This window comes from Homo sapiens, chromosome 21, assembly GCF_000001405.40.
Source record: "Homo sapiens chromosome 21, GRCh38.p14 Primary Assembly".
NCBI lineage: Eukaryota > Metazoa > Chordata > Mammalia > Primates > Hominidae > Homo > Homo sapiens.
This window is the reverse complement of record NC_000021.9, coordinates 34,881,127-34,904,722: the sequence shown is the minus strand read 5'-3', so window position 1 is coordinate 34,904,722 and position 23,596 is coordinate 34,881,127. Positions and strand designations below refer to the sequence as shown.

The 23,596-nt window shown below is 44.2% G+C and overlaps 1 protein-coding gene and 1 long non-coding RNA gene across 19 annotated transcripts in view, besides 10 other annotated features; one reads left to right on the top strand and one right to left on the bottom strand.

Moving 5' to 3' along the window:
• RUNX1 (RUNX family transcription factor 1) overlaps positions 1–23,596 on the top strand; it is a 261,502-nt gene that overhangs the window by 144,580 nt on the left and 93,326 nt on the right. For 7 of the 18 annotated variants that reach the window (XM_005261069.5, NM_001754.5, XM_047441012.1 and 4 more), the window contains 2 exons: positions 11,760–11,798; positions 17,627–17,880. In XM_005261069.5, the coding sequence (XP_005261126.1) occupies positions 11,760–11,798; positions 17,627–17,880 (293 nt within the window). Of the gene's footprint in view, positions 1–11,759; positions 11,799–14,641; positions 15,047–15,251; positions 17,881–23,596 lie in introns of those variants that run through there. The other 11 variants (XM_011529768.3, XM_011529767.3, XM_047441015.1 and 8 more) reach the window with 4 other exon arrangements.
• Positions 14,396–15,195: a silencer, noted in NCBI's record as "silent region_13276". NCBI's record gives its function as "represses an Ori minimal core promoter by ATAC-STARR-seq in GM12878 lymphoblastoid cells {active_cell/tissue: GM12878}" and the evidence as "EXISTENCE:reporter gene assay evidence [ECO:0000049][PMID:35858748]".
• Positions 15,496–16,175: a silencer, noted in NCBI's record as "silent region_13275". NCBI's record gives its function as "represses an Ori minimal core promoter by ATAC-STARR-seq in GM12878 lymphoblastoid cells {active_cell/tissue: GM12878}" and the evidence as "EXISTENCE:reporter gene assay evidence [ECO:0000049][PMID:35858748]".
• Positions 16,336–16,385: an enhancer, noted in NCBI's record as "active region_18408". NCBI's record gives its function as "activates an Ori minimal core promoter by ATAC-STARR-seq in GM12878 lymphoblastoid cells {active_cell/tissue: GM12878}" and the evidence as "EXISTENCE:reporter gene assay evidence [ECO:0000049][PMID:35858748]".
• Positions 16,656–16,715: an enhancer, noted in NCBI's record as "active region_18407". NCBI's record gives its function as "activates an Ori minimal core promoter by ATAC-STARR-seq in GM12878 lymphoblastoid cells {active_cell/tissue: GM12878}" and the evidence as "EXISTENCE:reporter gene assay evidence [ECO:0000049][PMID:35858748]".
• Positions 16,846–16,935: an enhancer, noted in NCBI's record as "active region_18406". NCBI's record gives its function as "activates an Ori minimal core promoter by ATAC-STARR-seq in GM12878 lymphoblastoid cells {active_cell/tissue: GM12878}" and the evidence as "EXISTENCE:reporter gene assay evidence [ECO:0000049][PMID:35858748]".
• Positions 17,326–18,097: an enhancer, noted in NCBI's record as "H3K27ac-H3K4me1 hESC enhancer chr21:36258923-36259694 (GRCh37/hg19 assembly coordinates)". NCBI's record gives its function as "activates a minimal SCP1, AML or CMV promoter by ChIP-STARR-seq in naive H9 embryonic stem cells {active_cell/tissue: H9 hESC(naive)}" and the evidence as "EXISTENCE:reporter gene assay evidence [ECO:0000049][PMID:30033119]".
• Positions 17,522–17,661: an enhancer, noted in NCBI's record as "active region_18405". NCBI's record gives its function as "activates an Ori minimal core promoter by ATAC-STARR-seq in GM12878 lymphoblastoid cells {active_cell/tissue: GM12878}" and the evidence as "EXISTENCE:reporter gene assay evidence [ECO:0000049][PMID:35858748]".
• Positions 17,672–17,781: an enhancer, noted in NCBI's record as "active region_18404". NCBI's record gives its function as "activates an Ori minimal core promoter by ATAC-STARR-seq in GM12878 lymphoblastoid cells {active_cell/tissue: GM12878}" and the evidence as "EXISTENCE:reporter gene assay evidence [ECO:0000049][PMID:35858748]".
• Positions 18,098–18,869: an enhancer, noted in NCBI's record as "NANOG-H3K27ac-H3K4me1 hESC enhancer chr21:36258151-36258922 (GRCh37/hg19 assembly coordinates)". NCBI's record gives its function as "activates a minimal SCP1, AML or CMV promoter by ChIP-STARR-seq in naive and primed H9 embryonic stem cells {active_cell/tissue: H9 hESC(naive and primed)}" and the evidence as "EXISTENCE:reporter gene assay evidence [ECO:0000049][PMID:30033119]".
• RUNX1-AS1 (RUNX1 antisense RNA 1) overlaps positions 19,671–23,596 on the bottom strand; it is a 48,740-nt gene continuing 44,814 nt past the window's right edge. The window contains exon 2 of the long non-coding RNA NR_186614.1: positions 19,671–21,240. This is a non-coding gene — a long non-coding RNA (RUNX1 antisense RNA 1). The remainder of the gene's footprint in view (positions 21,241–23,596) is intronic.
• Positions 21,751–21,800: a silencer, noted in NCBI's record as "silent region_13274". NCBI's record gives its function as "represses an Ori minimal core promoter by ATAC-STARR-seq in GM12878 lymphoblastoid cells {active_cell/tissue: GM12878}" and the evidence as "EXISTENCE:reporter gene assay evidence [ECO:0000049][PMID:35858748]".

The window sequence follows — 23,596 nt, the reverse complement described above, 5'->3', positions numbered from 1 at the left end:
TTACCTAGAAGTGCTGTATCAACCAATAATACATTTTAAATTCTCCTCAAAATGGGTATCTTCACATGCATTTGAATTGTTAAGATAACTAGGAAAGAAAAAAATGGGAGTGTGCTATGTAGTTACTTAAGATTAGTGCACTAATTGGTCAGTGGTTCAACTAGAAATGACCTATAATTTATTTTTGGGCTCATTTGTGGTAATATTTTGGTGATCATCTGTTTCTTTGCTCTGGCTGTTTTCAAAACAACCTACTCTGCAAAAATATGTGATAACATTTTTCAAGTGTTGTTTGTATGTTTCTAATAATTTTTGGATGATCTCTGAATATAGATTTCATTGCACGTATAAATATAAATTAAAAATTAGCTATCAAGTCATATCTATTTTCAGATGTTTTAGTTTAATTTTATTAAAAAAATCTTTCCACTCTTTCTCTCTACCTTTCAAAAAGATAACTCTACAGAAATATCACCATTTTTTAATTCAAAAATTCTAGCAAAATTTGCCTTACCTTTTAGAATATAGTTTTAAATGGTAGTATTTTTCTAAGCAAGTCCAAAACAATCATATAAAAAAGTTTAAATCTCACTTAACTATTGTTTGAGAGGTAGACAATGATGTTTTATGAGAAGTCTCCGCAAAAAATGTTTACTATTCCATTTCAATGTATTACCCATAAAAAGGTATCATTTATTGAATATCAATTGTATAATAGTAATAATGTAACCTGAAAATATGTAACCATTACAATACAGATCTTAGCAGTTTCATGAAATTTAGAAAATATAATTACGTAATTAGAGAATAGGATTATTACTTCTATTGTTGCTTTTTCCAGCTATTTTTTATTTCAGACTACAACATGAAATTTTAAAGTTTTTGTAAACTATGGCAATTTCATGACCCCACAAGAAAGCAGGATATTGATAGTCTTAGCCAACTGTTTCTTATAACAGTCTGTTTTCCAAATTTGAAGATAACAGGATTAATATGAAAGTATTTGCCATCTTATCCGAGTGCCTATAGAATACTCTAAGGCTGATATTTGGCAATTTATTATTTAATTGACAAATGTAGATATCTCAGCACTTCCTTCACAGATCAAGACCTTGTAAGCAAGACTGAGATCAAGGTCTTACTCTGGATTCTTGAGTAGACTTTCTATGTCCCAAAACAAATAGGTGATTCGGCACCCAAAATTTAGCTAAAGCTTCTATATTCCCTTTCTAAGGAATTCTGCTATGTTTGTGGGAAATTTCTCTATAGTCTATATGGGATCATAAATAGGAAAAATTTTATTTTAGTAAAAAAGTCACAAATTTGAGGTAGTAACAGTTGTAATAATAATAATGAAGCTTATCTGTTTATTGAATAGGAATTAAACTATATTGTACATCCATATTATTTTTAAACTATTATTTTGTAATATACATAGTGAAACTTCACTAATTTGGTGGGCATGGAGTAAACAGAATTAATCAAAGAGCTGAATTGTAATATTTTTAGTGATTATAATAATAAATTATTTTGGATAACACTGAGTAACTGTGGGTCTATTCTCAATCACCATGTAAATTATAGAATACGATAGCAACATGTCTGTGATTTTCTAGAAGATGCAGAATCTCAGAGTTATTTTTATGTGTATACTTGTTTTAAATCATATCTTCTTGAATCTGCTTTTTAAAACAGGCAATACTTATGTGAAATTAGAGAAAACCTATGTGAAATGGGAAAGTCCTTAAAATGTCCTATCTCTAGTTGATTCTGGGTCCTCTTTTTCCTTCCTGGCCCCTTCCCACTCGAAACCCAAGTTCACTCTAGCCATATGCTGACATGGGTAAGCACCAGACCCGGGCCGATTTCCCACAATTCCAAGTGGCATTTGCATAAATGTTCCTGGAGCTGGAAAACCCACCTTGTCCAAGCCTCTTGTTTTGTGGATGAGGAGGCTGAGGCTGGGGCAAGGTAAGTAACTAACTTGCTCACATGGCTAGTAACAAACTTCCTACAGGTTCCTCTACCTTATGAGATAGTGAGTACTCCTGCACTCAAATATATTGGGGTTCATGTTAATTGCATGAATTAATCCAGTCATCAATAACTCTAAATCTTAAATTTTGAATTTGGAATCTGAGTGAATGATTACCTAGCTATCATTTGAAGATAATATATTTGTGTGTGTGAATCTCATGTATACCTTTATATAGAATATATATGTATTTATGTCTTTATAATATATATTGATGTCTTTACTCCAAGTATCCAAGAATTAGTTGTCCATGTAGAAATTTGCTGTTTCAGCCAGCTTTGGGGTATTTCCTTTGCCTGTCCTGTACCCACCATTGTCCACATTTAAGGTCTAACATAGACCTACCTACTGCTCTACCAGCTCACCAAGGGTCGTCTTATCAAGCTGGTCTGCAGTTAATCCCCTACCCTCCTCCCTTCAAGAACCAATTAAAATCACTCTGTTATTTTTGAACACAAAAGTTGCTTAAGGAAAAAATACTTTCTATCTCATAATTCTCCTAGTGAAAGAGTAAATTATAAACACAAAGAATCCAAATAAATGATTCTGTTTGGGAAGGAGCATTTGCTGTGGGATAGCATGTGGGACATGAGGAACAGGACCCCTGCTTTCAATTCATACATTCATTCATTTCTTTTTTACTCAACTTAGAAAAATCATGTCACATTTCCTATTCATTGTGGTGGAAATAGCTTTAAATATATTAACTAAAATGCCTCAAATAAAGCAGATTACAAAAGAAAGCAGACTCCAGAAGTATTAGCAACTTTATAGACTCTGCATCTATCATCCACCAGAAAATCTTACTAGTGTGACATTCGCCAATTAGGGAACTGAAAGCCATGGACAAGTCCCTAAACTCCCCTCCCTGGAGCGCAATTTTCAGATGCTCCACTTGGATACTTTCTCACAATGCTTAGCTGAAGGATATCACTCGAAGAGAAGACTGGTTTCATGTGGAGAGTGACTTCTCAGTCTATCTCTTAAAACATAACCTCTGTCTGTAGCTGACGGAACCAAAGAGCATGTGGAGAAGGGCCCACACCAAAGAGAATGTGGAGAAGGGCTCACACCCTTTCCAGGGTCCACACGTTGGCCCCTTAACCTCTGTCTTCAACCCGTAAGACTAACAGATAGAAACTGGTATTGTTATTATTATTATTATTATTTATTTTTGAGACGGATCTGGCTCTGTCCCCCAGGTTGGAGTGCAGTGGTGCCATCTCAGCTCACTGCAACCTCCGCCTTCCGAGTTCAAGCGATTCTCCCGCCTTAGCCTCTCGAGTAGCTGGGACTACAGGCACGCGCCGCCACCACGCCCAGCTACTTTTTTTATTTTCAGTAGAGACGGGGTTTCACCATGTTGGCCGGGCTGGTCTCAAACTCTTGACCTCATGATCCACCCGCCTCTGCCTCCCAAAGTGCTGGGATTACAGGCGTGACCCACCGTGACCAGCCAGAAACTGTTATCTTTGCACAAAAGAGACACTTGGACCTTCAGGGGTTCCCAGCAGCCCCTTAAGAACCAACACAGGCAAGTAGGGGCAGTGGTTTCTGTTGTGAACCTCTCCCCACATTCCCGCTCCTTGGTTATTTCTTCTGATGAGGATGGATTCCATAGCTTAGACCATTAGACCAGTAGCTCCCTCACTGAATTGATCTATTACTGTGTTTTAACTGGTAGATTGCCAGCAAACTGAAACATTGATGGCTTTTTGAAAAATTTATATGCTATATTTCAAAATAAACCTGTTTATAGGAATTCCTATTTGAGAGTGAGTATCGTTTAACCAATTGGAAATTCTATTTTAAAATCATGGCCTATTAAAAATAGAACCTCCAATTTCTGATCCATAATGCTTATATTTAAAAATACGTCAGGTGTGTTTCATAGGGAACTGGTTTTGCTGGAAAAGAAAGGGACAGGAGATGCTTTTGTAATATTGTTTCCGAGCTCAAGGAAACCAAAGCACTGTTTTATAGGCTGAGGCATGCATGACTGGTGAATGTTAAGTGGAAATGAACAATGTGTGAGATTAACTTGTGGCTATCCATGGCTGTAAAAATGCATTAGTGGTGTTGTCAGTGGTTAGTAGGCCTTTGCAACTCAGTTATTGCTGCTGAGTATGTGTGTTCTTCCACCTTTGAGTCAATCAAGTCATGCTGTAATAAAAATTCTGAACTTTGCTTCAGGACAGCTCAGAGGGAAAACACGAGTCAAGTAAGATGCACTATTTAGTGGTCCTCACTAACAGCAGTTTAAAAACAGCTCACTCAAGCACTAGCAGACTAGTAGCAAAATTGCTATCCAGGGTGAATTGTGTTTTGAGTGGTTCCTGTAGAACTGTACTGTCCAATATGGTAGCCACTAGCCACAAATGAGTATTGACCACTTGCAATGTGGCTAAACCAAATTGAGATGCGCTATAAATGTAAAATACACACAGACTTTTGAAGACATAGTACAGAAACAAAAGAAAAATGTAAAATAGCTCATTAATAATTTTCATATTGATTACATGTTCAAATGACAATGTTTTCAATAGATTGGGTTAAATAAAACATATTAAAATTTATTTTGCCCATTACTTTTTTAATGTGGCTACTAGAAAATCTTAAATTATGTATATGACTCTCATTATATTTCTATTGGATGTGCTGCTCTAGAATAAGAAAGAATGTCCACATAGCTTTTGTTTGTTTTTTGTAGAGATGGGGTCTTGCTATGTTGCCCAGGCTGGTCTCAAACTCCTGTGCTCAAGCAATCATCCAGCCTTGGCCTTCCAAAGCACTGGAGTTAGAAGCTTGAGCCTCTGAATTCAGCCTGTCCTAATGGTTTAAAGGCAACTTGTCAGGATCTAATAAGGAAATTTGACTGGTAATACAATGTTTTGACCATCTTGCAAGCTGCTGGCTGCAACCGGGCACTCTGCAGGCAAACTGCATGGGCTGAGAATGGGTGAGCTGATTACTAAATCTTAAGTGTCCTCATTTGTAAAGTGAAGGGAGTAATGATGGACCACTCACTGCTCAAGAATTAAATGGGATAATGTATGTAAAGCAGCTCCTTGTGAGGCCTGATAGAAGATGTACTGGTGACTTCTATTACCATACTTGTCTTGGTCAGCTCAGGCTGCTATAACAAAATACCACAGACTGGGTGGCTTAAACAGCAGACATGTATTTCCTCACAGCTCTGGAGGTTGGGAAGTCTGAGATCAGGGTACCAGCACGATTGGGTTCGGTGGAGGGAGGGAGGGAGAGAGAGAGAAAGAGAGAGAGAGAGATCAATCTGGTCTTTTCTTATAAGAGCATTAATCCCATCATGAGGACCCCAGCCTCACAACCTCATCTTAATCTAATCACCTCCCACATATCCTACTCATAGCAGCACATAGAGGATTAGGGCTTCAATGTGAATTTTGGAGGGATACAAACATTCAGGCCATAACAACAGCTTAAAAAGTCCAATCGCACCAGGCGTGGTAGCTCACACCTGTAATCTCAACACTTTATGAGGCCGAGGTGGGCAGATCACTTGAGGTCAGAAGTTCGAGACCAGCGTGGACAACATGATGAAACCCCATCTTTACAAAAAATACAAAAAGTACCTGGGCATGGTGGCACGTGCCAGTAATCCCAACTTCTCAGGAGGCTGAGGCAGGAGAATCACTTGAACCCAGGAGGTGGAGGTTGCAGTGAGTGGAGATCATGCCACTGCACTCCAGCCTGGGTGACAGAGTGAGACTCTGTCTAAAAAATAAAAATAAAAAGTTCTATCTGAGATACTGGATCCTCCAACTCTGAGTGCAGACCTTGAACCAGCGGCAGTGGCAACACTGGGAGCTTATGGGAAACCAAGAATCTCAGGCTTCTTCCGAGACCTGCTGAGGCAGAATCTGTAGTTAACCAGACTCACAGGGGCTCAGGTACGCATTCACTTTCTGCAGTGCTGCCTAGGGAATTTAAAGGTGAGTAAAACACAGCCTCGCTGGCAAGGTGTTCACAATCCACTGGTGCGTTTGTGTGGGAATGAGAGTGAATCTAGAGAGATGAAGACAATTATCTGGTGGGCTGTTAGGAGGCTCAATAAAAAACACCCCTGCTCTCCGGTGATCCACAATCAACAGTGAGATGACAAAGGAGTCAAGCAGATGGAGATAAAAATACCAGCTTGGTCACTGATAGAACTTTTGGAGAGCATGGCTTAGGTATGTGGCTTCCTGCTACTGAGCTCCAGAAATAGGGAGACTCACTCACCAATACCCAAGCAGTGTCTCCCCAAAAGAATAAGGAGAGGGAAAGAGCATGCCCAGGGTACTTGTTTTCTTATTGCTGTAAAACGAGCAAATTGCCAAGCTTAGCACCTTAAACAAATTTAGCCCACAGTTCTGCAGGTCGGAAATCTGGTGGTGCTGTACTAGATTCTCTGCTCACAGCTTCATAAGGCCAAAAATCCAGGGGTTGGATAACCTGAGCCCTTACTTGAAGGCTTTAGGGAGAAATTCACCTCCAAGCTCATGCAGGTAGTTGGCAGAATGCAATTCCATGGGGCTGTAGCATAGTGGCCCTCGTTTCCTTGCTGGCTGTCAATCAGGGGTCACCCTCGGCATCTAGAGACTGCTCTCTAGTTCTTGCAAGTGCCTGCTCTGTCTTCTAGCTACAATGCTGACTTCACTTCTGCCCCAGCCTGAGAAAACACTGTGTTTGTAATGGTCTCCTGTGATTAGATTAGGGCTACCAGGAAAATCTCTCTGTTGCATGAGTCAAAGCCAACTGATTAGTAACCTTAATTACATATGCAAAAAAAAATCTCTTTTTTTCCATGTAACATAACCAGAGCATGACAACTCATCATATTCCCAGCCCCAGGGATTAGGGTGGAAAGTTTGAGGGGTTCATTTTATGCTTCTGCCTTCTACAACCAGTTTCTGCTTCCAACGCTACTAACTAGGTAATTCAATCTTTTATGGTGGAGGAGGAATGAGGGTGTAAAAAGAGGTCAAGAGTTTTACACTAAGGAATGTTGTTCCACATGGAAACCTGAAGCCAGGGAAGGGGTGGTTCCACCACTTCCTCTCACCCGCCCCACCACCCAATATATTTAAATAGCTATAACCCAAAATATATTATAATTCAAGTCACATAGGAGATGTGGAAATGATGATAAAGCATGTGATTGGTCTTTAAGAGGCAATTTCACCTGAGGCAGAAGGATCTGCCCCCCTCCAAGATGAGGACAGGAAGGGTAGCTCTTAATCCTGCAGAACTGTGCTAAAGACCTTGCATTGAATTCCAGATGCCCAGGAGAACACAGCAGAACTATGGTGCAGGAGACTAATCTGGAAGTACTGTATACAATTAGCAGGAACCCCCTTTTTCAGAGATCTTTGTAAGAAATCTTCAGAGAGGTAATGAGAACTTGAACCAGAATGATGTCAATAGGAATTGAAAGGTGGGGGCCGAATTGTTATCAACCAAAGAAATCAAAAAGAGATCTTGGCAACAGACTGGATGAGGGCAAAGATCAATCCATGGATCCAAGTCTGGAAACTGGGAGAATGATGGTGCAGTGGGGAAAACAAGAGGAAGACCTGGGTTGAAGTGGAAACTGATGAATTTTATTTTCAGTAAAATACACATGGCAAACACTAATTTTCTCAGGTTGCTTCCATCTTACACACATGCACACATATATATACACAAACACCTCTCAACACTGGTCTTTCTCTCCTCCTGCTACCTCACCAGTTTCCCTCCCTCCTCCAACAAATTTCATTCTCTCCTTCCCTACATCCCATTCGCTTTCTACTCTCTGCTCCATTTCTGCTGCTGCCACTCAACTGAAGCTCCTTTGGCAAAGGTTACATGGCACTCTCTGTAGACAAATCCAGTGGAATATTTTCATATTTTCAGTCCTTGTTTTCATGGCCCCTTTGTGGCCTTTGGGCCATGGTTTTCCTCCAAAGCTGGCATTTTCCTTTATTCTTTTCTTTTCTTTTTATGAGACAGAGTCTCATCCTGTCTCCTAGGCTGGAGTGCAATGGCACAATCTTGGCTCACTGCAACCTCCGCCTCCTGGGTTCTAGTGATTCTCCTGCCTCAGCCTCCTGAATAGCTGGGATTACAGGTGCCCACCACCATGTCTGGCTAATTTTTGTATTTTTAGTAGAGACAGGGTTTTACCATGTTGGTCAGGCTGGTCTCGAACTCCTGACCTTAGGTGATCCACCTGCCTTGGCCTCCCAAAGTGCTGGGATTACAGGCGTTAGCCACCATGCCCGGCTGCATTTTCCTTTACTCTTATTACTTATTCTCTCCTCTTTCTTTTCCTAGCTCCATCTCCTTGGTTGCTCCCTCTTCTGCTCACCCTGGAATGTTGATAATCCCAGAACCTGAGAATGGTCTCTTCTCACTGGAAACAGTCTCTGAAACTAGCATAGAGTTTGATTGTACCCTAGATACAATCTGAAACTACAATAGATATTCTAAGGATGTTCAGCTCATTATTTCTACATGAAACCTCTCCCCAGAATTCCTGTTTTCCCCACCAGCACCTCCTATTCTGTTCTGGGCATCCAAAGCTCAGAGAGACATCACGATGTCTCTCTGTAAACCCGCTGTTTCTGGTCTTCTCTACTACTATTAAAGGACAGATGCTGGGGAGACTCCTCCCCCTCCCTCACCTCAATCCCCTCTTCCATCTCCATTGCTTAATCCAGATCCTCATGACCCCTTGTCTGACAACTGCTATAGCTCCCCACTCCTCATCTCTACTCCCTCCAACTCACCGAGCTGTTGTTGACAGACTTATTTTTCTAATATATATATTAATTTTGTTATTTCCCTGTTTGGCTTTGACAGATCAATTTTCCCGCATGTTGAAGTTCACATTTCCTCAGGTTGCTTGTGCTTCCAATGACCTATCTACGTCTATGTATTTTTGAACTGCTGCACTCCCTCCCCCACTCCCCAACCTGGTCTCAAACCTATGCCCCAACTGTACTGGAACTGACACACTGATGTGTTTCATAAACTCACGCCCTTATTCATGATGCTTATTCAGCCCAGAGCACCATTTCCCCACCCCACCGTCACCTCCCTAAACCCCTCCTCTAGCTCTTTGAACCACCTAAAAATCTACCCAACCTCCAAAAGTCAAGTCAAAAATCACCTCTGCTAGGAAGGAAGTCTTTCCTGAGCCCACCAGGGGCTGTTGGCCCCTCTTCCTCTTATATTCCCTCCCACCAGTTCCTGGGACCCTGGACATGTGTCCACCAACAGCCATGACACTTCTTTACTCTCATCTGTTTGGTGTTTGTCATCAGTGAGCCTAGCACCTTGCCTGGGACAGAGGAAGCATTCAAGGAATGCTGAAGGCAGGTGAATCAAATACCTTGTATCTAGGAAAGTCCTAAAGATGCCCTTTTAAACTAGTGGAGGTGGGAAAAGACTAAAACGCCATTTTATATTATTATCAATATAAAAGCTTCTCAGCCAAATGGACCTTGGCTTTCTCCTCAAACTCTGTGGATGACAGAAATGACATTAAAATCTGACTCCTAATGATATGAGGTTTGCATGGTGAAGAATTTCCAAGATATTTTCTGATCTAGACCCTGAGACGGGGGGGATAAAAGTGAAAGATGAGATCAGAGTTAATTTTTTAGAACTCTACCAAGGATAGCCACAAAAATAATCATGATCCAAAAGGAACATAGCTTACCATGCATGTGGACCTATATGTAGATATGAATATGTGTGTGTGTGTGTGTGTGTGTGTGTGTGTGTGTGTGTGTGTGTGTGTTTCTATGTAGGTCAAGAGTGATGTGAATTTGGGCAAGTTACCTGAACTCTCCAAGGGTGAGGTTCCTTATCTGTAAAATGGGGGTAGCAATGATGTTCTTGTGAGGATTAAATCAGGCAAAGTATATAAAAGCACTTCACCCATTGCCTGGCATATAATTACATTCAATGGGGGATGTAGGGAAGAGAGAGACAGAGAGAGAGCATGCAAGCTAGCACACTGGAGGATGGGCTACCAGATTCATTGTTCACTGTCTTAAACACACGCAACCTCCCCTCTCTTGCAGTTTGGGTTCTGGCATCTTTAACAGTTTCATGGGCAAATCACTTCAAACCTCCACAGGTGCTACTTCACCTGGGCAGCAGTTGCTCACCCCCTACCCCTTCCCCCTCCCCAATTTAACCACACTTGCTGTGTTCTCAAGGCTGCTGATACACAACAAACTAAGAAAGTTTTTAATAGTTACCAATCACAGTTTTCAAAATCCACTCATTTTTGCCCTTGTTTTTGGGTTTAAAAAATCCTGGCATTTTCCTCAGAATTGCTGAACTATTAGGTGTGTAGATGAACTTGTGTTTTCTTGCTCTCCTACTCCAATTTCTTAGACTCAGACATGGAAAAGCTTCTCTGGGTCTCAAGACATAATTTCCAGGGTGCGTGGTTCCGCTGGGTGTGCTGTCTGGTCAGTCTTACCGTTGTGGATTCCACACCCCCACCCCACTGCCCCAACACCTATTAAAGCTGAGCTGACGTAACTTCAGGATACATTTATTATTTCTTACCTTATCATTCACAATTAGTGCAAATGATTAGTTCTCTGCCTTGCTCTTTAAAAAGAAAAGTCTTCATGGAGTCATTTTATCTACTTGTGAACCACAATCTCGTTTTTTTTTGGATGCTCCTTTGAGACTATACATATTTAATTCCTTTAATATTTCATCATAGAGCAGTCCTTCAGAACCTCTTATTTTAGTTGTTCCTTTTACTTTGGCAAAAATATAAGACTAAAGAAGCTGCAAATCTTGTTTTCCTGCCTATTTAAACAGCATCTAGAAATCTGAAGTAATTGTCTCCTCTTATTTTAAAGGTTTTTTTTTAAAAAAAAAAAAACAGCATACTAAATATTGTGGCATGGAGTTGAAAGCTTTAGGTCTGCAGCATTTGAAATGCTCAAATCCTGTCTTTAAAGAACAGTATTTCCTCTTTGTGACTCAGTGCTGTTATCAATATACAAGGCTGATAGAGTAATTTCAAATTCACAACATTATATGTAGATATTCAAAGGAAAGAAAAAGAGCTTCATGTGACTTTGCTTAATGGGTTTACCTATAGTTGTAAATGTATACAGTAAGTGATCCATATTTGGGAATTATCATGTAACAATTATTTCTAATAATAATTGATATAATCTATTAGAACTTGTGAGAGGTTTCGATGTAAATAATTTACCTGCCTAGCAGAGAGAAGGGAAGGAGAGTAAGCAGGGGAAAATGTTTCTAAAATGTCCTATCATTGGAAGTAAATGATCATAAATGTTTTTGCGTTAAGTTAGGGTTTGGTTTTAATTTTCCCTTGAATTCTAATGTTCCTACACCTTCCAAATATATTTTAAATCTTCATTAAATAAATCACATTTTAATCACACACGGAGCTTAAAAGAGGTGATTCTATGACAGATATTCAGTATTAGCTAGTGAAGGAGAACATTGGTTGAAGGTACCTAAAACCACGTGCATAAGGAACAGTTTATTTCTTATTTGGTGATTTACTATTTCAAGTCATTTTTGTGTCAAAGCTATAAAAATCTCCAGTGCTAAAAAGTGTAAGAAGAAATGAGCTAGCAAAAAAAAAAAAGTCGGGGGAAAGTTAATTTTTAAACTTGCATTACTTTTATTTTCCTACTTTCTGTTATTTCAGAATGCATACTTGGAATGAATCCTTCTAGAGACGTCCACGGTATGTTAAATTCCAAGTTATATTTTTAAATAAAGTACACACCTTCATAGATGTGTATATGATTTTATATCTATGTATCTCTATGTATAACTTGTGATATAATTTAACCAAATAATTAAGGCTGTTTCTGCTGATTCCAATATACTTAAAAGCAGTTCTCCATATTGTAAATGTTATACCATATAAAATATTTCAATGAAAGCTTAAATGATACCCTCAGTTCTACAGCGTTTACCATAGGTGCATTCTGATGCTATTAAATGCCTCTATACAACTCTCTAAAAACAAAACAGAGCTTGGCTTCCCTCACAGCCCAGCTTATTACCTGTGTTATAGCAGTGGTAATGCAAGATTTTTATGAGAGTAAAATGTTTACTAAGCATTCCTAAATTTTAAAAAGATTAATTTTAAAATGTCCTCAGCTTGCTACTTGTGAGGTACACAATGGGTTTATGAAGTGAAAGTGAAATCATCACACATTAACCATAGCATCCCACAGAAACATTCAGATGGAGGAAGGATGTAATGGAAGAACTAAGGGCTCTCCTCCCCCCTCTCATAGTAATTAGATTTGAAAAGTGAAGTAATCTCAAAGCCACTTCAGAAGAAAAAAATGTTTAATTAAATTCCAATGTTCAAAACTGGATAGTGTGTATGGCAGGTGATTTGTACATACATGTTACTCTTCATCAAAATTGTTTTCCATCCCTGTGACATCAATACAAACTGCAGCTATTTGGTTCCAAACCATAGCAAGATACATTCTATTTTTTAAAATGTAAATGGTCATTTAAAATAGAAATAATTCTTTTAGACGTACTGCATTTTTACAAATGTGATTTTGGAAATATATTGCTCGCAAAGGGTAATTTTAAGAGAATTGTTGAGATTCTAATCCCATCTTTATGCATATTTTGGGGAGGCTTTTGAAAGAGCAAAAAGGTAAAAGATTTAGTTATCTTCTGAGACCACCTATAGTTCTTTACCTAAAGTTGTAGAAGAAAAACGTCAATGCACTGTTACTGTTTTCCAATGAAATTATTTTTCTTCCAACTAACCAAGCAGTACTTTTTAAATCCACTGCAGAAATGTACATTTCATTCCTGTTGTGAGCCGTTTTCAATTCTCCTCCCTCCCTCTCCCCGCAACAAAATTTGGAAAAATCTGTCACGTAGCATCCGCCCAACGTATCGCTTCGTTGTATTTTTTTTTTTTTTAATTTTGCATTATGACAAAAGTAAATTCTAGCATTACTCCAGGGAAACACTGGGAATGAACCTGGTAATGTTTCCTTTCCTTTCTCCCTTAGGCAAAGGAAGGGGAATTCTGTATTGTCGCTAAAATGAGCGCTCTTGGTGGAAAGGAATTCCTCACTTCGTACACGCTGTGGCTGTCCTTGAAAGTGCAGGCTCCGTAAAATGCCCGGCCGACTAAGGGGTTCCCTTTCCCCGGAGCCCCTGCCTCTTTCCATTCATTTTAGATCCTCAGTAAGGAAGGGCAGAGGTTGGTCTGTTTCTTCTTTTCAAGAGGGCACCGCGCTGCGCAGTTAACAGCCTGCGCCGCTCCGGGGAAACCCAAATGTCCCGCGATCCCATCGAGTCAAGGAGCAAAAGCTGTGATTGCTATCAGCTTTTTGTCGGGCTTCAAACTCGGGGTTTATCGGTTGAAACTCCTAGCTGAGCAGCTCCCACGACGCTGCCTCTGACGGCTAAACTCGGTGCATGCAAGGCTGGGACCAACTTTCCTTACTCGATAAAGGAACTTGACTCCCTCCTGGGAGACCGCAGCCCGAGTCCGACTCGCAGCCCCCGTCGCGGGGTTTAGGGTTTTAGGCAAGCGGCCCGAGACCCAGAGGAGCCTCCCTGGACCTTTCCGAGGGGCAAATCACCCGAGTCTGCTATTTCCCCTGGAGTCAAAAGCCTACTTTTGGAGCCGCCACACCCTCGTGCTCCCTCCCGCATCTCGGGGGTTCCGGGGGATGCACGTGGGGGTGGCCCCAGGAGCCCTGGGTGGGATCTCGGGGAAATGCATTGGAGACCAGGCGAAAAGGTTTCCCTTGCCCAGAACTTGCCTCTAGAGCGGGCCGCGTCCGAACCCGCAGGCAAAGGCGCTGCGGCCCCTGCGGGCGGGCGGGCGCGCGCGATGCACTCTTCTCAGGGACAGAGTTAGAAAGTGGACGTTTGGGCGGGGGGAGGGGGGGATTTACAACTGGAATTAGGCTTAAAAAAATCATTTTAAAAGAAAAATGTAGTAAGTTTTCTTTCCGAGACCCCAGGTCCATTAAAACAAAACTGAACTCGGGTGCTGGCAGTGCCCAGGGGGAGCGGAGGCGGAGAGGGTTGAGGCCGCGGGCCGCCCGCCTTAGCCCCCCGGAAGCCCGGGCTCCTGAAGCACAGATAGCCAAGAGCGGCCCGAGTCAAGCCCCAGGAACAGGGGCTTCGGGAAGAGACCCCGACCGGGCCGCACAGCGGGGAGGCCTGGTCCGAGAGTCCCCACCTGGCCGGCTGCGACTCTATATTGGAACCTCGGAAACGCGCCTTGGCCGTTCCAGCTCAAGTGGGCTCTGGGGCGGCTTCCTGTCTTTTATCCTCGAACGCTAGTTCTTCCCGGGCGACCCGAAGGCCACGAGGCGGGCCGCACAGCCCCGCGCCGTCGGGGGCGTTCCGGGAGCTCCGGGGACTGCGCGCGGCGTCCAGGGAGGGCGGCTGCTGCCCCCTGGCGTCCGCCAGAGCCCGCGGCGCGTCCCGACAGCTCCGCGCAGTCCGGGCCCGCCCGGGAAAGGCCTCCACGCCAGTCAACCCCGGCCCCCTCCTGCGTCCGGGCCCGCGGCAACGCCCGGGGACAGTCCCTGCGCGGCAGCGGCCACAGCACCCTAGCCCTGGGGGAGGGAGGAGCGGGCGTCAGGGGCCCCGTGAGGTCGGCGAGGGACCCCCGCGCCGGGGAGCTTAATTGAGGGGCTCCGCGGGGACCACAAAGCAGCCCGCGGTGGAACGGGGCCGGGATCCGGGGACTGGGTTGCAGCCCCGGGGTGGATGAGAGGCCCCGGGAGGTGCAGGGCCCGGCAGGGAGGGCGTGGAGGGACTCATGGTGACGGGAGCAGCCTCCGCTGGGAGGGAGCCCCGCCGGGCGGGGTCGGAGTTGGCAGCGCACGCCGGACCGGGGGCGGGGCCCTCCGAGCTCCGCGAAAATGCCCGCAGCACCGCGGGGACCGGCGCAGGGGGAAGCGGCCGCCCGCACGCGAAGCCGGGGTGGGTTCCGCACCTGGGGCCGCTCGAGCGCACGGGGGCGGGGAGAGGAGCGGGGGCCGCTTCCGGGGAGCCGGAGGGGAGACGCGGGGCCCGGGCAGGCTGTCCGGCTGCTGCGGGTGCCGGCGCTACAAGGCCCGGGAGCAAGCCGCGTGGCTGCTTTCAACTTTCCTTCCAGCCGCGCGTTCTTGGGGTCTTTCCTGACTAGGAAACTCTTCGCTGGCCGCTGACGCACGCAGCAAGTGAGACGCGCGGAGGGATCGAGCCGCGGCCCGGGCGCAGCGGTAAAAAACACCCATTACAGAAACCGACCCAAGGGAAGACGCTGAGAGCAAACGGCACGCGCGGACGCCGTCCGGCCTCATGCAAGGAATCAGCGCCGCTTCGCCGCAGCTGCCAGCCGGACGGTGCAGGAGCGCGGAGTGGCTCCCCCGGGCCCCGCGGCCAAATCGCACCCCCGCCCTGGAAGCGGAGGCCTGGCCCTGGGCGGCCGCGCAGGATCTGGGGCCGTCCGCGGGCTGCAGCCCGGTTCGGGAGCCTCGTGGCGGCCACTGCGCCTGCCTGCAGCGGCTCGCGGGGCCGGGCCTCTCCGGGTGCGGCGCGCCGGCCGGGTCCTCCTCGGGCCGGCGGGGCCTGCTTTCTTTTTCCAGGTCTCCGGACCGTGGCCACTCGCGGAGCCGCACAAGCCTGCGTGTGGCTGCGGAAAGGGGTCCGCACGCGGGCGGGGCCCCGGGCCAGCATGCAGGCTTGGATGCGGGGCGCGGGGGTGGCCTCCGACTCCCCGCCCGGGCTGCGTACAGTAGCGCGCGGCGCGGCGGCGGGGGCGCGCGGGCCAATTCCAGGAGCCGGCGGCGGCGAGCCGCGCCCTGGCTGATACCGGAAAGGCCTGTGATTGGCCGCCGGCCGCCCCTATGCAAACGAGCTGAGGGAATGGAATTCCTCCGGCCGGGCTTACAGTAAAAGCACGTTCATTTCCAGGCACTCTCATTCATAGAGCCAGCGGGCGCGGGCGGGACGGGCGCCCCGCGGCCGGACCCAGCCAGGGCACCACGCTGCCCGGCCCTGCGCCGCCAGGCACTTCTTTCCGGGGCTCCTAGGGACGCCAGAAGGAAGTCAACCTCTGCTGCTTCTCCTTGGCCTGCGTTGGACCTTCCTTTTTTTGTTGTTTTTTTTTGTTTTTCCCCTTTCTTCCTTTTGAATTAACTGGCTTCTTGGCTGGATGTTTTCAACTTCTTTCCTGGCTGCGAACTTTTCCCCAATTGTTTTCCTTTTACAACAGGGGGAGAAAGTGCTCTGTGGTCCGAGGCGAGCCGTGAAGTTGCGTGTGCGTGGCAGTGTGCGTGGCAGGATGTGCGTGCGTGTGTAACCCGAGCCGCCCGATCTGTTTCGATCTGCGCCGCGGAGCCCTCCCTCAAGGCCCGCTCCACCTGCTGCGGTTACGCGGCGCTCGTGGGTGTTCGTGCCTCGGAGCAGCTAACCGGCGGGTGCTGGGCGACGGTGGAGGAGTATCGTCTCGCTGCTGCCCGAGTCAGGGCTGAGTCACCCAGCTGATGTAGACAGTGGCTGCCTTCCGAAGAGTGCGTGTTTGCATGTGTGTGACTCTGCGGCTGCTCAACTCCCAACAAACCAGAGGACCAGCCACAAACTTAACCAACATCCCCAAACCCGAGTTCACAGATGTGGGAGAGCTGTAGAACCCTGAGTGTCATCGACTGGGCCTTCTTATGATTGTTGTTTTAAGATTAGCTGAAGATCTCTGAAACGCTGAATTTTCTGCACTGAGCGTTTTGACAGAATTCATTGAGAGAACAGAGAACATGACAAGTACTTCTAGCTCAGCACTGCTCCAACTACTGAAGCTGATTTTCAAGGCTACTTAAAAAAATCTGCAGCGTACATTAATGGATTTCTGTTGTGTTTAAATTCTCCACAGATTGTATTGTAAATATTTTATGAAGTAGAGCATATGTATATATTTATATATACGTGCACATACATTAGTAGCACTACCTTTGGAAGTCTCAGCTCTTGCTTTTCGGGACTGAAGCCAGTTTTGCATGATAAAAGTGGCCTTGTTACGGGAGATAATTGTGTTCTGTTGGGACTTTAGACAAAACTCACCTGCAAAAAACTGACAGGCATTAACTACTGGAACTTCCAAATAATGTGTTTGCTGATCGTTTTACTCTTCGCATAAATATTTTAGGAAGTGTATGAGAATTTTGCCTTCAGGAACTTTTCTAACAGCCAAAGACAGAACTTAACCTCTGCAAGCAAGATTCGTGGAAGATAGTCTCCACTTTTTAATGCACTAAGCAATCGGTTGCTAGGAGCCCATCCTGGGTCAGAGGCCGATCCGCAGAACCAGAACGTTTTCCCCTCCTGGACTGTTAGTAACTTAGTCTCCCTCCTCCCCTAACCACCCCCGCCCCCCCCCACCCCCCGCAGTAATAAAGGCCCCTGAACGTGTATGTTGGTCTCCCGGGAGCTGCTTGCTGAAGATCCGCGCCCCTGTCGCCGTCTGGTAGGAGCTGTTTGCAGGGTCCTAACTCAATCGGCTTGTTGTGATGCGTATCCCCGTAGATGCCAGCACGAGCCGCCGCTTCACGCCGCCTTCCACCGCGCTGAGCCCAGGCAAGATGAGCGAGGCGTTGCCGCTGGGCGCCCCGGACGCCGGCGCTGCCCTGGCCGGCAAGCTGAGGAGCGGCGACCGCAGCATGGTGGAGGTGCTGGCCGACCACCCGGGCGAGCTGGTGCGCACCGACAGCCCCAACTTCCTCTGCTCCGTGCTGCCTACGCACTGGCGCTGCAACAAGACCCTGCCCATCGCTTTCAAGGTACTGGCCCGGAGAGGGTGGTGGGAGGACAGGCGGAGGCCGGCGAGGCCGGGGGAGATCCGCGAGGGCAGCGGCCAGGCGGGCGGGGCCGGATTCTGGAAAGGGGCCCCCGCAGCCCCGGGTCGGTCTTCCTAGCTTGGGATGTGGGGGATGCTGTGTTGCCGTGGCGACCCTCGGGAGGCACTCGTCTCAGCTTTCTGGGGCGGCCTCCCAGGAGGGCTGAAAACATCAGGGTGTCCCCAAAGATATCCACTGGGAGCCGGTCGGGACCTCCCTGGCAGGGGCCTTAGCTTTGATACAAAGTAGGAAAAGTTATAACCCAGCCCGGCAGAGACAGCCCGTCTGCTAACTTACTGCTGCCCCTACCGCTGGATTAACACCCAAACCATTTTGTCTTCCTCAGATGAAAGGATCAGGAAATAAAATAGTAAGACTTTTCTGCCTTCAAGTCAGTGAAAAGAAACTAACTAGGGAAACTGTCAGGGATTTTTTTTCCCCTTCTCTAACCGCCCTATAGGAATTAGCATGTCCAAAGTCCACAGCGGGCGTAGTTAAGTTTGCAAAAGTTTTCTGAAGAGTTCTCTGAGCTTTTTAGCCTGCTCCTGCCAGAAGCCGCAAGTATCGAATCCTGTTTCTTTTCCCGGAACCGTTCTGAATGCTATCATCAGCTCACCTAGATTAAGCCAGGGGTAGCGAAAGGTGACGAGGCTGTTTTCGGAGAGCCAGGGGTCCCAGCGGCCCGCTTTCCTGCTAGAGGAGGGGGCGGCGCGTAGCCGGAGACTTCAGCGCGGCGGCTCCAAAGATCTCCCTTCACTTTTCACCCCTGATCATCCCCAAAGCTTTGAGCTGCCTTTAAAAACCTTGACCTTCAACAGGGGTATGAAAACAACCCCAGGCGTTTCTAAACAATCACCCTACTACACTAGCAGCAAGCAGTAGGAATTTAATTTCTGCAGTGGAGATTCTGTTTTGTCTTTGGTGGGTTTGAAAAGATGCGACTAAGTAAAATCAGTGCGGGTCATTTCCTGTTCGTTTAAAGGGCGAATCAAGGCAGGTGGTTCCAAGTGTAAAGATAAGCTACTAAAAAAAAAGTTTAAATAATTGTCCCCTTTAAAGGGAGATTAATTTAATATAAGCTTTTTATAGTTCCAAGCCTCAGCTGGGTCTTGATCTTATTACAACGACGAATATTCACTTTTTAAAAAAGTATTGTTGCGGTTATTTTTAAGCTTTATACAGTTTCCACACTTAGATTGTGATTTCTAAAACAAAACGAAATTTGCAGTTGGCTGTGTCTATAGATTGGCCTCTTTTTCCACTCACTTTTCTAAAAGCAGTTTTTTTTGTTTGTTTTGTTTTTTAGTGGGGGTGGAAATGAGGAGAAGGAACGAAGGAACGTGGTGGCTTGCTTGACTCTTTTTTCCCTCCCTCCGTTTACTTAGATTTGGGTTTGGGAGACCATTTTACTTTTAAATCATTCTAACCCTTTGCCTAAATGGACTCAGCGATGACTCTTTAGGGCACCCGCATTGAGAGGGGACCCAACAGGGTTGGGCCATGGGGTCACTATCAGATAAAGAGCAGAGGCAAGACGGGCTGATAACCACCAAAGGCCATTAAAACCTGGCTGCCCCAATGCACTAGGGCTCTAAGAGATTTGTGGCTTCCTTTTGGGGGGGAAATCAGGGTCTCTTCTGAACTCCCTCCTCTGCCAGGGAACCCACACTCAAATATATTAAAAGACTAAATGATTAATAAATAATCTTCAGGAATTGGAGCAATTCAGAGTCTCAAGCCATTACATGAAAGTATTTATTTTCTTCTAAAAAATGAAAAATTATACATATTGCTTTTATGAGCTGTCAGAATTCTTTCTAGCAGAAACCATAATAACCATAGAGTTTCCTTTTTAAAATGACTTTTGGCAATTCACTTAAAAACAATTAATTTGTTTTATTGAGTGATAATCTATAGGCTACTAAAAATCCAAATACAGAGCTCTTGAAAAAAGTTCAAGCAGATCCCCTGAGAACATTTAGGGGAAAGGAAAGGATAGCAGAGAAATCAGACCATTTGATTATTGTCTGTCACCACCCCAATCCTCATAAAAAGAGGCTTCTTCCTGGAGGAGACCTGCTCACTGCATAACTAGAAGAGTAGACAAAATGTTCAGTGAGACAGTAAACGTGAAGGGATAAAATGTTAGGGATAAAAGCAAGCAAAACATCAAAACCTGCCTACATCCCGGGCTCATTTAGTGTGTGTCCCTGGCTTCACTCTATCTGCCCACCCAACCACCTCACAAGCAGCTTCAACAGAAATTATTACTTTAAAATTTGGATCTTAAATAAGCCGCAGGCAATCTCCCTAGGAAGTTAACCAGTAAATAATTATTATATTCCCTATGGTAAAGAGAAGCAAATGTGAAACAATGATAAGGCCTGATGATATTGATGAAAAGATCACTGAAGGCCTTCTTAGGAATCTCCTGAAGTTCTGTAGGTAAATCCTCTACGTCAATCTTCTGAACTAAAGAGAGATTTAAAATTATGAATTTTCTTTAAAATAGATTACAATAACCCTACTTGCTTATTTTGAGCCCCAACCTGTTCTCCCCCTACTCCTTCCCTCCCATGGAACACCTTTATTTTTTACAGTATGAGAGATACATGTTTTTTACTACTAAGAAAACCTTAAGTTTGCTGTGTGTTTTGCTGTACTTACAGAATTAGCCTAAAAAGCTGTTTTGATGACTTAGGATGTATTTGGTAATACCATGGTGTTATAGCTTGTTCAGGCCCTGGTACACCAGAGTCCAAAGACGTAAACGTGCCTTCAGCAGGGAAGTTCGGAGGTCTTGGATTCTGATGGTAATATTCTTTTCATAAAAAGGAAATAAGTAATATTTTTGTCGGCAAGATCACAGTCCCTAGCTATGCCTTAAATATCATCTCAGCTGAATTCTGTGTTCCACTCCACAGCCTTCTTTGCAACACTGGAAGGTTAACGGATTTGAAGTAAATGAATTGTAACTGTAATTTCAACCTAATTAGAATTGGTTTAAAATGCCAGTTTGGACCGTGAACAGGCTAGCCAAGAACAGTATTGGGAGGTCCATGTAATATAGAAGAGAGTTGATATTTGGCCCAACTTCCTGATACTTTAAAAACAGAGAAGTAAAACAAAATATGAGATATCTTTGGCCAGCAAGTCCCTTCTTGCCTGTTTGGTCTGTGTTAAAATGTAAATGTTTGTGTTTCCTTACCTATTGTTTATAGCTTTTCATTCCAGTTGTTTCTTTTTTCTGTTTGAAGTTAGATATTTTTACATTCTCTCCATATTGCCCATCAGTGACAAAACCTGTATCAAATTAGCACGCATGTTAGTTTTGAATTAAAAAGAAACTTTTTAAACCTGGCTTAAGTATGCTTGTTAACAATTGGACGATATACAGTATTAATGAATTGCCCTGGATTTACTAGTTCCCCTTTACCCACCCGCCTCCACCAAAAAAAAACCCTCAGAGATCAATACAAGGCCAAGTGAATGATATGTAGGTGCCCAAATATGGTTGATTCTGCTGCATTTAAAAAAAAAGAGGAGTGGGAGTTAAACTTCTAATTTTTTTCTTCTTAAGTTCCAACATCAACAGCCTTTTCTTATTTAGCCTCCATGATAATTTTATTCTATGTTTGTTTCGACTTGGCGAAGGTCTCCTGAATTTGCCAAATTACCAATGAGGATAGTATTGGAAAGATGAGAGAGGCACAGGCTTGGAGCACTGTGAGGGGAACAGCAGTAGGAGGCAGATAATTCAGAATACATTCCTGTAGTTATAAAAGAAGATTTATTTATTTTCACCTTTTTACAGATCCAGACCCAACAATGAGTTATTCAGTTTGAAACCCACGTAGTGGAGGCAGTCTCTGTATACCTGCTGAATGTTGAGTTACAATAGAGAAGCCTGGGTTACCACAGGGAGAGGAGGATGAGGAAGTAAAAATATGTGTTCAAAGAGGGCATTTCAACACTGTGAGCTAACTTTACAACGGGAAGTGAAAATCATGAAAAAAAGGGGAAAATTTGTTGTGAGAGACTAAAAAGAGCAAAATAAAGCAAGCCCATTTTTCGGGAATAGAAAAAAAAAAAAAACAGTAGCAATAACCAAATAACTGATCAGGGAGATTTATTTCCGTGATATCTTTTTAAAACAAAAAGGGAATTGTCGTATCACTGCTCTTAATTAAATGGCAACAAACACACTTATAATGGGAACTAAATAGCTAATTAGAGGGTGCTTGGGGAATAAATAGCAGAGTTTTAAAATCTCCTATATGGAAAACATGTCCAACAATTGGAATGAAAGGATTAAAAAGAGAGAAAAGGCCCAGACCTTGTTTGGCAGTGCAAGTTGGATAAAATAGAGGAAAATGCCTCCCTGCTTCTATGAGACTAGATTATCCTGGTGTAGTCTTGGGGTTGGAAGTATGTTCATCTCTCATAGTGAGTTAGTTCGTGTTCTGTGCCACAAGGACTGAAGCAGTTCTAATGAATAAAAACAATAGATAGTCATCTGGAGGCCACAGGGAAAGGGTGATGGCTAAGCAGATCATGAAAATGGGAATCTTGAGAAACATGACTTCGATATCATACAAGTGAGTCTATGGCAGCCTTTTTTACATATAGAAAAAGAGGCCTGAAAATATATACTACAAAAAATTATGTAGCAGTTATTAAGGTAAAAATTGGGAAGTAGGAGGCAGAGGAAGGAGTGATAACACTAGATTAAGGAATGCTTTACTGTTACCAATTCAAAAACAGCAACCAAAAATGATGATGTAATTGGAATGAGTAATATAAATGTCACTACTGACTTTACCGTAAAGAATGTCAGAAATGATCAGAATAAATACAGCTTGGGGCATTTCGATTTGAAGTTGTATGACTGCTTTGAAAAATAGAAACAAAGGAAATACAGCCAATAGTAAATGTCTAGACCAAGAAAATAGTTTCTAGAAGGCCTAAATGATAGCCAAGAAATTGATGCTATTGTACAAAGTATCTTTAGGTCATGCTTTTCAGAGTATTTTACTTTGGAATTCATTTTCTTAATTACCTGAGTATAAAAACATTTATCTACCAGTTTTCTCCAATAGCCCTGATAAGACTTCATACTTACTCAGTTACATTAAATAAATTCCTGGTCAAGATCAGCTGGGCTAGCAGAAAACCTCAGGCATCTGTGAGGACATGAGTTTACACACGCTGAGACTCACAGATACAAAAATGCAACCCAATTCCACCCCTGAATTGAGGGGAGTGCATAGAAGTGAATGTCCCGTCTTTCTGAGGTCTGTTGATTTTGTAATTAGTAAACGAAGGGTGCATTTCTGATTTTTTTTTCTTGTGTGCTAGAATTCATTGCTAGTAAAACTCAAGATAATAGCGATGAGTAGGAGGTATCAAAGATGAACTGTAGAGGGACAGTTTAAGTTACTTAAGAATCGTCAGCAAGATGAAATCTACTTTTAGCAGAAATTGGGTTTTTTTGTGTTTTTTTGTTTTGTTTTATTTTCTAAAAGTAAAGTCTGCACCTTGTTCAGCCTGTTAGTGGAGGTCTGAGCAAGTAAAAGATGGGTTGGATTATAAACTTACAAACACAGGATGTTCTGTTTCTCAAACGGGAGAAATTAAGAAGAGATGCTTGTATTCAGGA